A 12,530-nucleotide genomic window follows, 5' to 3' on the forward strand; every position below is an offset into this window, starting at 1 on the left:
TGCTCCCAGGGAAGAACTGATGGTCATTAGGGTTGTCATTGAGAGTTACAGTGGCATTTTAGTCTTTTTCTTGTTGTTTACAACAGAATACCTGAAACTGGGTAATTTATAAAGGAAATAAATTTACTTCTTACAGCTCTGGAGGCTGGGAAGTCCAAGGTCAAGGGGCCACATCTGGTGAGGGCCCTTTTGCTGACAGGAACTCTCTGCAGAGTCCCCAAGGGACGGCACAGGGCATCCCATGGGGAGGGGGCTGAGTGTGCTAGCTTGGGCCTCTCTTCATCTTCTTTTAAAGCCACCACTCATATGGAAGCACTTTAACCCATTAACCTGTTAACCCGTTGATCCATGAATGGGTTAATCCATTCCCGCCTTGGACCCAATCCCCTCTTAAAGGCTCCACCTCTTAATATTGCCACATTGGGATTAAGTTTCAACATGAGTTTCCAGGGGGACATTCAGATCATAGTAGGTGGCTGTTCGATCTTACTGTTTGGCTCCACATTTGAGTGGCAGGCAGAGTGAGAGCTGTCATTCTCTCAACTCTGTAGATAAGAAAACTGAAGCTTTAGTGGGTCCATGGCCAGGGCAAGGTCATCAGGCACATTGGGATCAGAGCAGGCGAGGCCCAGCCCCATCACCGCAGCCTTCACTTGGCTCTGAAGTCCCGGGCTGGTGTCCAGAGCTGAGTTTGCAGGAGGTCCCTACTGGGGTCTGACCACAGGGCGTTCACAGGGTTCAGTATTTGAAAGGCCCCAGTTGTGATCATCAGAAGTAACGTAAACCAGGAATCATCACTGATTTTTTCTCTCCAATGGATTTGGTGACCCTGGTGAAAGTATTCTGTTAGCACAGTAACGCCCCATGATCTAATAAAGTTGGTACCCAGAGTTAATTTTTAAAAAAGTCATCAAGAGTGAGAGTCATAAGATAACAAAAGATGCTCTTTTAAAGTTTAACATGGCTGGGCTCAGTGGCTCACGCCTGTAATCCCAGCACTTTGGGAGTCTGAGGCAGGTGGATCAAGAGGTCAGGGGTTCTAGACCAGCCTGGCCAACATGGTGAAACCCCATCTCTATTAAAAATACAAAATTAGCCAGGCATGGTGGCGCGTGCTTGTATTCTCAGCTACTCAGGAGGCTGAGGCAGGAGCGTTGCTTGAACCCGGGAGGCGGAGGTTGCAGTGAGCCAAGATCGCGCCACTGCACTCCAGCCTGGGAGACAGAGTGAGATTCCGTCTCTACAAAAATAAAATAAAATAAAATAAAAATTTAACATATGAGGATGTCGACTGGCCTGGTCTGGGAGTCCAAGCCATTTCCCTGTTTGCCATCCACTGATGGGAGCTCTTCCTCCGTGTGCATTGCCCGGGCTGGGGTCAGCTTCTTTGAGGTGGAGTTGTGCCTGCAGGACACTCGTGCATGCAGAAGGAATCTGAACGCAGGACCTGTCTCTATATTCATAAACGCTCATCTCTTACCATCCCTAATTCAACAGCCAAAAAACCTTGTTTCTAGGAATTCACATTTCCTATCTTCCAAGCATTTGATTTAAATTTCAACATAAATGTAGCCATTTTTTTTTCACACTCCTGTTTCATCTGTTACTACAAGAGTTAATTTCATGGCACAATTGTAATGATACACACAGCTGTGTAAGCAGGTTTGGGAGCCAACCGCTCCTGGGAGCACAGCTTGGAAAGGGGGCAGGAGTGTGCTCTCCTGGGTTCTCAGCAGGCTGCAGACTCACCCAGCAAGCCTTGCAGAAGGACCTCCAAGGTGCAGAGAGGTGGGCTCGGGGCTCCGAGTGGCCCTCAAACAAGTACCTTTGGACCATTCAAGCTCTGACCCACTTACTGTTTCCAGAGTTCTGTCCCTGCAAACTTGTTAAAACACAGCCACCTTGCTCTGTCCTGGGGAGCGTCTGTCCTGGGGAGCACTGCTGGCCAAGCCTGCCCAGGACGGTGGGGCCCCTGAGCAGTCTGTGCCTTTGCAGGCCGGAGAGTGCACATCATCGAGGACCTGGAGGATGTGGATGTGCAGGAGGGCTCCTCGGCCACCTTCCGTTGCCGGATCTCCCCGGCCAACTACGAGCCTGTGCACTGGTTCCTGGACAAGACACCCCTGCATGCCAACGAGCTCAATGAGATCGATGCCCAGCCCGGGGGCTACCACGTGCTGACCCTGCGGCAGCTGGCGCTCAAGGACTCGGGCACCATCTACTTTGAGGCGGGTGACCAGCGGGCCTCGGCCGCCCTGCGGGTCACTGGTGGGTTGCATGCCCGCATTGCACATGTTGCTCAGAGCTGCAGACAGGTGGAGAGGTGGATGGCAGCTCAGCCATGTGCCCAGTATCCCTGGGCTCACAGAGAAAGCACCATTGGCTTACTGTGGGGTGGGGGCTCGGAAGGCTGAATTGGGCTCTTTCAGGATGGATGCTTCTGCATGGTTTGCAGAACTGTGCTTGGCGTGGCCCGAGCCAGGCTGCATCCCCACTGGGGCAGGAGCCGCACGGAGCCTGCCCTGTTCCCTCTGCAGCCTTTTGCGTGGCCCCAGCGTGAGGGTGGCTGGTGGGTGCTGAGCCAGGGTGTTGCCTGGTCTGCAGTGAGACCCAGGGTTTCTCCCCGTTGGCCCCTCCAGCGGCAGCACGACAGGATCCCACATGCTCCTGCTTCTCTCTCTGTCCCCCAGAGAAGCCAAGCGTCTTCTCCCGGGAGCTCACAGATGCCACCATCACAGAGGGTGAGGACTTGACCCTGGTGTGCGAGACCAGCACCTGCGACATTCCTGTGTGCTGGACCAAGGATGGGAAGACCCTGCGGGGGTCTGCCCGGTGCCAGCTGAGCCATGAGGGCCACCGGGCCCAGCTGCTCATCACTGGGGCCACCCTGCAGGACAGTGGACGCTACAAGTGTGAGGCTGGGGGCGCCTGCAGCAGCTCCATTGTCAGGGTGCATGGTGAGCCCCAGCAGCCCCAAAGCCCAGCCACAGGCCAGGTGCCTATAGCTCTCTTCTCAGGCAGCACCGTCTTCAGGGCAGGGCATGTGCGCCCACAAGGAGCCCAAGGCAGGAGCACCCAGGCTCCCGTACATCCTGTATGGGGCACCCATGGCTCCCCATGTCCTTCCTGGCTCTCCCTGGCACCTTGTCCACCCTGCTCGGCTTCCGCCCTGGCCTCTGCCACCTGCAGGAGCCGCCCCGCAGAGCTGTCTCCTCTGCGTCCCTGAGGGGACGTTCCCTCTGTGCATGCCTGTGTCCCTGACCTCCCATCTTAGGAGGTGCCAGCCACAGTGGCTTAGGGCCCACCGTGACCTCATTTGACCTTACTTTCCTCATCACAGCCACGCTTTGAGGTCTGGGCTAGGGCTTCCAACTGTGAATTTGGCGGGCACAGGTCCCTGACACCCCACTCTTCTGTTCTCCTGCTTGGTTCACCCTTTCTATCCCTCACCCTCAGAGCTGCCCCTTTCCAGAAGTCTCAAGGTCGCTGCCACAGGCCCCAAAGGAGAAGGGGGACCCTGCAGCTGATGTCCCCAGCCCTCCACCACCTATAGGGGACCCCTAGTGGACTTCAGTCGGGGGAGGGCAAGCTGAGCCTGTGCCTGTCTGCAGCGCGGCCAGTGCGGTTCCAGGAGGCCCTGAAGGACCTGGAGGTGCTGGAGGGTGGTGCTGCCACACTGCGCTGTGTGCTGTCATCTGTGGCTGCGCCCGTGAAGTGGTGCTATGGAAACAACGTCCTGAGGCCAGGTGACAAATACAGCCTACGCCAGGAGGGTGCCATGCTGGAGCTGGTGGTCCGGAACCTCCGGCCGCAGGACAGCGGGCGGTACTCATGCTCCTTCGGGGACCAGACTACTTCTGCCACCCTCACAGTGACTGGTAAGTGTCTCTGTCCACCCTGCCCATGTGGCCCAAAGATGCCTCTTCCTCCAATGCAGGGGAGCAAAGACGATGCTCTCTGTGTCTGACTTTCCTGCAGCCCTGCCTGCCCAGTTCATCGGGAAACTGAGAAACAAGGAGGCCACAGAAGGGGCCACGGCCACGCTGCGGTGTGAGCTGAGCAAGGCAGCCCCTGTGGAGTGGAGAAAGGGGTCCGAGACCCTCAGAGATGGGGACAGATACTGTCTGAGGCAGGACGGGGCCATGTGTGAGCTGCAGATCCGTGGCCTGGCCATGGTGGATGCCGCGGAGTACTCGTGTGTGTGTGGAGAGGAGAGGACCTCAGCCTCACTCACCATCAGGCGTAAGACCGTGTATCCAGAGCCGTGTCCGGTGTCCAATTTTTTACCTCTGCTGTCAGTCGTACCCATTCTAGTCTACCCTGACTGTGCCATGCCCTTCCCAGCACATCACGGAATCCCTTCCAGCTTTCTGGGCTGTGGAAGGAACCAGGAGAACCCGGCATTTGCAGCCAGACTCCCACCCTCGAGGCACCCTGGGACCTGTCCTGTGGGAGTCTGTCTTATCCTCCGTCTTGCCATGGCCTGTCCCCCTGTGCTTCCCAGAATCTGATCTCCATGTCTGTCTGTCCATCTCTCCCCAGCCATGCCTGCCCACTTCATAGGAAGACTGAGACACCAAGAGAGCATAGAAGGGGCCACAGCCACGCTGCGGTGTGAGCTGAGCAAGGCGGCCCCCGTGGAGTGGAGGAAGGGGCGTGAGAGCCTCAGAGATGGGGACAGACATAGCCTGAGGCAGGACGGGGCTGTGTGCGAGCTGCAGATCTGTGGCCTGGCTGTGGCAGATGCTGGGGAGTACTCCTGTGTGTGTGGGGAGGAGAGGACCTCTGCCACTCTCACCGTGAAGGGTAATGACTGCTCCTGGCCACGTGCATGGGTGGCTATGTCTGAGCGGGTGTGCACATTCCTGCTTTGTGCTCACGTCTGCGCTGTGGCCTTCCCTGTCTTTCTGCGTGTGGTTCCTTCATTCCTTCAGTAGGGATTCCCCACACCTGCTGCGTGTTACCCGTCTCAGGAGCAGGAAGACAGCAGAGAAGAGAGGGCTGTTTGAGCCCTACAGAGTTGTAGGCAGAGACAGAGGATGTGGGGAGAACCAAATCATTACAAAAGTGAGATCACAGATCTTCTCCAGGGTAAACACTAGGAAGGCAGGAAGGCAATCAGGAGGAGCCCCAGAAGCGGAACACAGACGGGAGTGGGGGGATGGCAGGTGGGCTGGAGTGCACAGCCAGGAAGGGGAGGGTCCATTGTGAGGAGGAGAGAGGCAGGGTGACTGTGGGGAGGAGGTGATGGGGGTGACTGTGGAGAGGAGGTGATGGGGGTGACTGTGGGGAGGAGGTGATGGGGGTGACTGTGGGGAGGAGGTGATGGGGGTGACTGTGGGGAGGAGCAGCCACAGTGACTCTTTGTGTGTCAGCCAAGCAGAGCAGCTGTGTGGAGTGGCAGAAGGGGCCCAAGACAATCTGAAATGGAGGCTTTGACCAGGACAGAACGTCTGGAGCCCTGTGGTCCGCCTACGGCAGATCTAGGGTGTCCTCACGTGTGGGCGGTGGGAGTGGATCTCAGCCATGGCTGGGTCCCCTAGGGATGTGAGACTGCAGAACTCGCCCTGGGCCCTGAACCTCTCAGTCACAGCAAGGAGAGGATTCTAGCCTCAAGCCACCAGTGTTCTCAGCAGAAGGGGCAGAGCCCTGCAGGCCTGGCCTTGTGTGTCTGTGGAGCCGGGACCCATGGCCCGGTGTGGCTGGTGGCGTGGTGTGGCGTGGCGTGTTCAGGTGCTCGGGGCCTTGAAGGGCCTGGCTCACTTCCGTCAGGGAAAGCACATGGGATAAAGCCGGCCCAGGTGGAGGGCTCGGGCACCTTACAGGGAATGCAGGGAAGGACTCTCCCAAGCTCAAGGGCCTTCTCGCCCAGGACTGGTGGGCTCCCCTCACACCACAAGGAGTGAACCCTCAGCCAGTGAAGGGGCAGGTTCTGGGGGCCAGGCACAGCCATCTGGATGCCAGTGCCTGAAGCAGGTAGCTCCGGTCACAGGCACAAGTGTTGTAGACCTTTGCGGAGAGGCCGGGCCTCCATGCACCTCCAGCGGTGTCGACAGAGCACAGACAGCTTCCAAGGCATGGAGGCACCACACTACCAGGCTTGCCAGGACACCCCAGAGGGGCACAGACTTCGGGCTCTGTCACATGGCTGTGTAGCATGTTGGAGAGACACAGAGACCACAGGCGCCCGGGGGCTAATCTGTGTCCTCCTCAGACCGGTGGCTGAAGAGCAGATGACCAGAGTGGACCCCTGCCGGCTGCCTGAGGCAGTTGCTTCCAGAAGTGGGCGAGTTCCGGGAAAGCTTCAGGTGGTGGGTGCCCTGCTGGACCCCCTCTGGTGCCTGCTAAGAGGGCACCCTTGCATGCTGGAAGTTTCCACCGGACCCTGAAGCCCCAAGGATGCTCCGAGCTGCAGTTCCCCAGGGGGCGTCCAGGGGATGAAGCTGAGCACTCTGAGGCTCCAGTCTCCATCTGGTGGGCTGGGAAGCCACCCAGCCTCAGTGCACAGGAGACAGTGGCCCTCGTCTGTCCCTGTGATCCATGGCTATCTCCTGCATGCAGGGCATGTCCGGGTGGACGGTTCCTTCATGTATTCAGTTAGTTGTTTCTTATCTGCTGGACCCATGCACCAGGGCACCTGCTGCGTGGGGTTCCTGCTTGCATCATGAACACAGGGTGACAGTCAAGGTGGAGGGCGGCACCCTCCTCTCTCCCAGCAGCAGGCTCCTTACTCCCTGTCTGCCCTGGGCCCTGGCCGCCGGAGCAGCAGGAACTGATGAGAAGCAGGAGCTTGGATGATTTTGTGGGAGATTTTTAGGCAGCTGATTTTGTGTCTTTTTTCTCCAGCTATTCATCAAGATCATGAGGCTGGGTGTGGTGGCTCACACCTGTAAACCCAGCACTTTGGGAGGCCAAGGCAGGAGGATCATTTGAGCTCAGGAGTTTCAGGCCAACCTGGGCAACCCAGGGAGACCCTATCTCTACAAAAAATATAAAAATTAGCTGGTTGTGGTGGTGTGCACCTGTGGTCCCAGCTACTCAGGTGGGAGGATTGGTTGAGGCCAGAAGTTTGAGGCTGCAGTGAGCTGTGATGGCACCACTGCACTCCAGCCTAGGCGACACACTGAGACCCTGTCTGAAAAAGAAAAAAAAATTATGAAGGAGCTATGAAATAGGGAGCCACAGAATGAGGCCAGGGCCACAGTATAGTGTGAGCCACCAGGCTGGTCTTGGGCCCTTGAGCATGATGACAAATTCAGTCTGAGCCAGGATGGGCTACGGAAGACCCTGGGGATGGGGAGATGTGGTTTGGTTCCGTCTCTGCCTCCCCATCTCATGGGTCCTGTGGCCACTGCATGTGTCTGCCATCATCTTGGGGTCCCTGCTAGGATTCCAGCTCCTCTGTGTCCTGGGCGGCTTTCCCCTGTGTGTCCATGGCCAGTCTGTTCTCTGTTCCCAGGGCACTGTTTCACGTCCACATGTCCATGCTTTAATTCCTAGTTTCCTCCAGAGCGGGAGTGTGTCCTTGCTGAGTGTCCCCAGGTGTCTCCAGAGGGCCTCATGGTTTTTGTGTCCTCTCCAGCCTTGCCAGCCAGGTTCATAGAAAGTATGAGGCCTGAGGATGCCTCAAAAGGGGCCATACCGTGGTGCTGGTGGGCTGGACCGTGGGAAGCCGCAGTGCACAGCCTGTACTCAGCACACCCCAGGAGCAGCCCATGTTCAGATGGCTTCCCTGTCTTCTCAGTGTTGTCCATGTCCTGTCTCTTCTGTGGGCTCAGAGGGTGTGACTGTGGCCATCTCTTTCTGATCCCTCAGCCCTGCCAGCCAAGTTCACAGAGGGTCTGAGGAATGAAGAGGCCGTGGAAGGGGCCACAGCCATGTTGTGGTGTGAACTGAGCAAGGTGGCCCCTGTGGAGTGGAGGAAGGGGCCCGAGAACCTCAGAGATGGGGACAGATACATCCTGAGGCAGGAGGGGACCAGGTGTGAGCTGCAGATCTGTGGCCTGGCCATGGCGGACGCCGGGGAGTACTTGTGTGTGTGCGGGCAGGAGAGGACCTCAGCCACGCTCACCATCAGGGGTAAAGATCATGTGTGGCCTTGTGGACCCGTGGCTTGGTGTCTACATGTCACTGAGTCATCCTCATCTTCCAATGTGGCACAGCCCCTGTGGCAATCCCGGGGTTGTCTTTTCTCCAACTGAGGTCCTCCGGTTGTCTCCCGCCTACTCTTCTTGTCCAGGAGGTGTCCTCATGCTCATGTTCATCCCTTTGTGTTCTCTGTTCTTCCCGGGCCATTTGCTTCCTCCCCGTGTGAATGTTTATTTGCTCCTTCACATGTGGTCCTTTGGCGGTTTGTGTGGCTCCTTGTGGGTGTCCATGTCCCGTCCACAGAGTCTTCCAGACAGTCTGATGATCTCAGCGACTGCTTGGTCCTTCCCAGCTCTGCCTGCCAGGTTCATAGAAGATGTGAAAAACCAGGAGGCCAGAGAAGGGGCCACAGCTGTGCTGCAGTGTGAGCTGAACAGTGCAGCCCCTGTGGAGTGGAGAAAGGGGTCTGAGACCCTTAGAGATGGGGACAGATACAGCCTGAGGCAGGACGGGACTAAATGTGAGCTGCAGATTCGTGGCCTGGCCATGGCAGACACTGGGGAGTACTCGTGCGTGTGCGGGCAGGAGAGGACCTCGGCTATGCTCACCGTCAGGGGTAAAAGCCACATGTGGCCAAGGAGAGCCCTCTTCTGGTGTCCATGTACTGATGTCATGCCGTCTGTCTGTACTCACCCCATGTGCTCTCCCTGCATCTGCGCCACCCTGTTCCCATCACTCTGCGGAGTCCCTTCCAGCCTCTAGAGCTATTGTGGGAACCAGGAGAAACTGGCCTTGCAGCCAGCTTCCACCCCATGTGCCTCCAAAGATGGGCTCCATCATGTTGTCCTGTTGGCTTCTGCACCTTGTCCTTCATGCTGTCCTGTCCTCCCCCCACAGAGTGCTCCAGAGACTCTCACGGTCCTCATGTGTGTCTGACATACTCTGGCTCTGGCAGCCAGAGTTACATAAAGTGTGAGGACTCAGGAGGCCATGGAAGGAGCCACAGCTACAGCGCTGACAGGCTGGAGCATGGGAAGCCCCAGTCCACAGCCTGTGCTCAGCACACCCCACATGTGGCCTGTGTCCAGTTGGATTCTGTGTCTTCTCTGTGCCATCCATGTTCTGTATCTTCCATGTTCTCAGAGAGCATGATTGTGTTCATATATTCTGACCCTCCCCCAGCTCTACCCATCAAGTTCACAGAGGGTCTGAGGAACGAAGAGGCCACAGAAGGGGCAACAGCCGTGCTGCGGTGTGAGCTGAGCAAGATGGCCCCCGTGGAGTGGTGGAAGGGGCATGAGACCCTCAGAGATGGAGACAGACACAGCCTGAGGCAGGACGGGGCCAGGTGTGAGCTGCAGATCCGCGGCCTCGTGGCAGAGGACGCTGGGGAGTACCTGTGCATGTGCGGGAAGGAGAGGACCTCAGCCATGCTCACCGTCAGGGGTAAAGGCCACATGCAGCCAAGCAGCACCATGCTCTCATGTCCACGTGTTGACTTGACGCCATCCGTCTCTGCCTATGCTGCGTTCTCTCCCCATGTCTGTGCCTGCCTGTGTAACTGCACGAGCTTCTTCCAGCCTCCAGGGCTGTTGTAGGAAGCAGGAGGAAGCAGCCTCTCTAGCGGGCTCCCACTGTGTGCCTCCGAGGACTCTGTCAACATTGTCACGTTGGATTCTATGTCTTCCATCCTGTCACATTCTTTCCCCTGATGTTCTCCATGTGTTTCTGACCCTCTCTGGGCCTGGGTGCCAGAGATTCCTATAAAGCCTGAGATGTGAGGAGGCCACAGGAGGGGCCATGGCCATGTGCTGTACAGTCTGTACTGAGGGAAGTCCCAGTCCACAGCCTGTGCTCAGCACACCCCCATGCGGCCTGTGCCCAGTTGGGTTCTGTGTCTTGTCTCTGCCATCCATGTCTTTCCTATCTCTTCCAGGTACTCAGAGAATGTGATTATATCTGTGTCTTTTGACCTCCCCAGCCATGCCTTCCAAGTTCATAGAGGGTCTGAGGAATGAAGAGGCCACAGAAGGGGACACGGCCACGCTGTGGTGTGAGCTGAGCAAGGCGGCACCGGTGGAGTGGAGGAAGGGGCATGAGACCCTCAGAGATGGGGACAGACACAGCCTGAGGCAGGACGGGTCCAGGTGTGAGCTGCAGATCCGTGGCCTGGCTGTGGTGGATGCCGGGGAGTACTCGTGTGTGTGCGGGCAGGAGAGGACCTCAGCCACACTCACTGTCAGGGGTAAAGATCGTGTGTAGCTATGTGGACCATGGCTTGGTGTCTACGCATCTCTGTGTCACCACCTTCTGCCTTCAAATGTGGCATGGTTCTGTGGCAACCCCATGGTTGTCTGTCCTTTAACCAGGGTCCTCTGGGCATCTCCCTCCTCCCTTCTTATCCAGGAGGTGTTCTCATGCTCATGTCCTTCTCCTTTTGTGTTCTCTGTTCCTCTGGGGCCATTTGCTTCCTCCCCATGTGTACGTTTGTTTGCTCTTTCACGTGTGGTCCTTTGATGGTTTGTGTGGCTCCTTGTGGGTGACCATGTCTCGTCCATAGAGTCCTCCAGACGGTCTGATAATCACAATGACTGCTTGGTTCTTCCCAGCCCTGCCTGCCAGATTCATAGAAGATGTGAAAAACCAGGAGGCCAGAGAAGGGGCCACGGCCGTGCTGCAATGTGAGCTGAGCAAGGCGGCCCCCGTGGAGTGGAGGAAGGGGTCTGAGACCCTCAGAGGTGGGGACAGATACAGCCTGAGGCAGGATGGGACCAGATGTGAGCTGCAGATTCATGGCCTGTCTGTGGCAGACACTGGGGAGTACTCGTGTGTGTGCGGGCAGGAGAGGACCTCGGCCACACTCACCGTCAGGGGTAAAGACCACATGTGGCCACCTGAGTGATTCCTGTCTCCTCCCACCTAACCCACATGATCTGTGCTCTCCCAGTTCCTCTTGATGTCATTGCCATCTCATTCAGTCACTCCCCTGTGTGATACATCCCACAAATGCACTTGGAACCCACTTGGATGACCTAATCTAGGGCCTGGGAATATGGACCTCAGGAGTGAATAGGGCAGGGACCCAAAGGAGAGCCCCACAGACAGACATCAGGGTCCAGGAGAGCTGTCTGGGGCCACTGGCATCTTGCTGGGGCTTGCACATGTGCGTGGGCTCTGGGGCCCCAGGCCTAGAGGTGAGGGCCTGTGTTTCTGCTGATGGACATGCACAGTAGGGTTGGGGGCTCACCGAGGAGGTGGTCAGGCCAGGCCCCACTAAATCTGCTGAGAGTGTTTGAGTGGTTCTTGTGGTCATGCCAGGCTCCTGAAGGACTGCTGCCTTTATCTGCTCGGCGGACACAGCAGAGCACGGCATCTGGGTAACTTCACAGCAGATATTTATTTTCTCAGACTTCTGGAGTCTGAAATTCCAAGATCAAGGAGTCACTTGGTTGGTTTCTCCTTAGGCCTCTTTTCTTGGCTTGTAGATACTCTGGTCACATTGGATTGGGCCCTTCATAACAACCTCATTTTACCTTTCAAAGATACCATTTCAATACAGTGACATTGTGAAGTACTAGGGGTTAGGATTTCAACATACATGGATTTGGTGAGGGGACTCAATTCAGACCATGACATTCTGCCCTCTGGCTTCCCACAATTAATTACCGTCTAACATGCAAAATAAACTTACTCCTTCCTAACAGCCCGTAATCTTAACCCATTCCAGCATCAACTCAAAATCAAAATCTCATCTGAACGCATCTAAGTCAAGCATGAGGGAGGTGAAGTATGAGTCATTCCAAGGCAAAATTCTTCTTCAGTTGTGAAGCATGGAACCAGACAAGTTTTGTGCTTCCAAAATGCAGTGGTGGTGCAGGCATAGGATAGACGTTCCTGTTCAAAAGAGGGGAAGTTGGAAAGAAAAAACAGGTCAGGATCTTATGCAGGTCTGAACCTAGCAGAGCAAATTTCACTAGATTTTAAGGCTGGTGACTCAGTACAGTGGCTCATCTCTATAATCCTAGCACATTGGGTGGCCGAGGCAGGAGGATTACTTGAGGCCAGGTGTTCTAGACCAGCCTGGAAATATAGCAAGACCCTTTTCCTAAAAGAAAAAAGAAATTGTTAGGTTTGGTGGTACACATCTGGGGTTCCAGTTACTAGGGAGGCTGAGGCATGAAGATCACTTGAGCCTGGGAGTTTGAGGTTGCAGTGAGCTATAATTGTACCACTGCACTCCAGCCTGGGTAACAGTGAGACCCCATCTCTACCTTTTTTTTTAAAGTCTGAAAAATAATTCTCTTTGACTTAATTCCAGTCCTCCATGCCAACCAGAGTGTTATCCCCAATCTCTCAGACCTGGGTAATATCTTATCCACTCATCCTTGGGTAACAGCCTCTCCCCCTCCATTCTGGGAAGAGGTGGTCCTGATCCCTGGACC

The 12,530-nt window shown here is 56.1% G+C and overlaps 1 protein-coding gene across 4 annotated transcripts in view; it reads left to right on the forward strand.

Annotated features, from left to right (window-relative positions):
• The window catches only part of OBSCN (obscurin, cytoskeletal calmodulin and titin-interacting RhoGEF), a 170,833-nt gene that overhangs the window by 76,039 nt on the left and 82,264 nt on the right, over nt 1–12,530 (forward strand). For all 4 annotated transcript variants that reach the window (NM_001386125.1, NM_001271223.3, NM_052843.4 and 1 more), the window contains 10 exons: nt 1,996–2,268; nt 2,691–2,957; nt 3,612–3,878; nt 3,979–4,242; nt 4,543–4,806; nt 7,816–8,079; nt 8,441–8,704; nt 9,271–9,534; nt 10,070–10,333; nt 10,698–10,961. In NM_001386125.1, coding sequence (NP_001373054.1) covers nt 1,996–2,268; nt 2,691–2,957; nt 3,612–3,878; nt 3,979–4,242; nt 4,543–4,806; nt 7,816–8,079; nt 8,441–8,704; nt 9,271–9,534; nt 10,070–10,333; nt 10,698–10,961 — 2,655 coding nt within the window. The remainder of the gene's footprint in view (nt 1–1,995; nt 2,269–2,690; nt 2,958–3,611; nt 3,879–3,978; nt 4,243–4,542; nt 4,807–7,815; nt 8,080–8,440; nt 8,705–9,270; nt 9,535–10,069; nt 10,334–10,697; nt 10,962–12,530) is intronic.

Source organism: Homo sapiens, chromosome 1, assembly GCF_000001405.40.
Source record: "Homo sapiens chromosome 1, GRCh38.p14 Primary Assembly".
Taxonomy (NCBI): domain Eukaryota; kingdom Metazoa; phylum Chordata; class Mammalia; order Primates; family Hominidae; genus Homo; species Homo sapiens.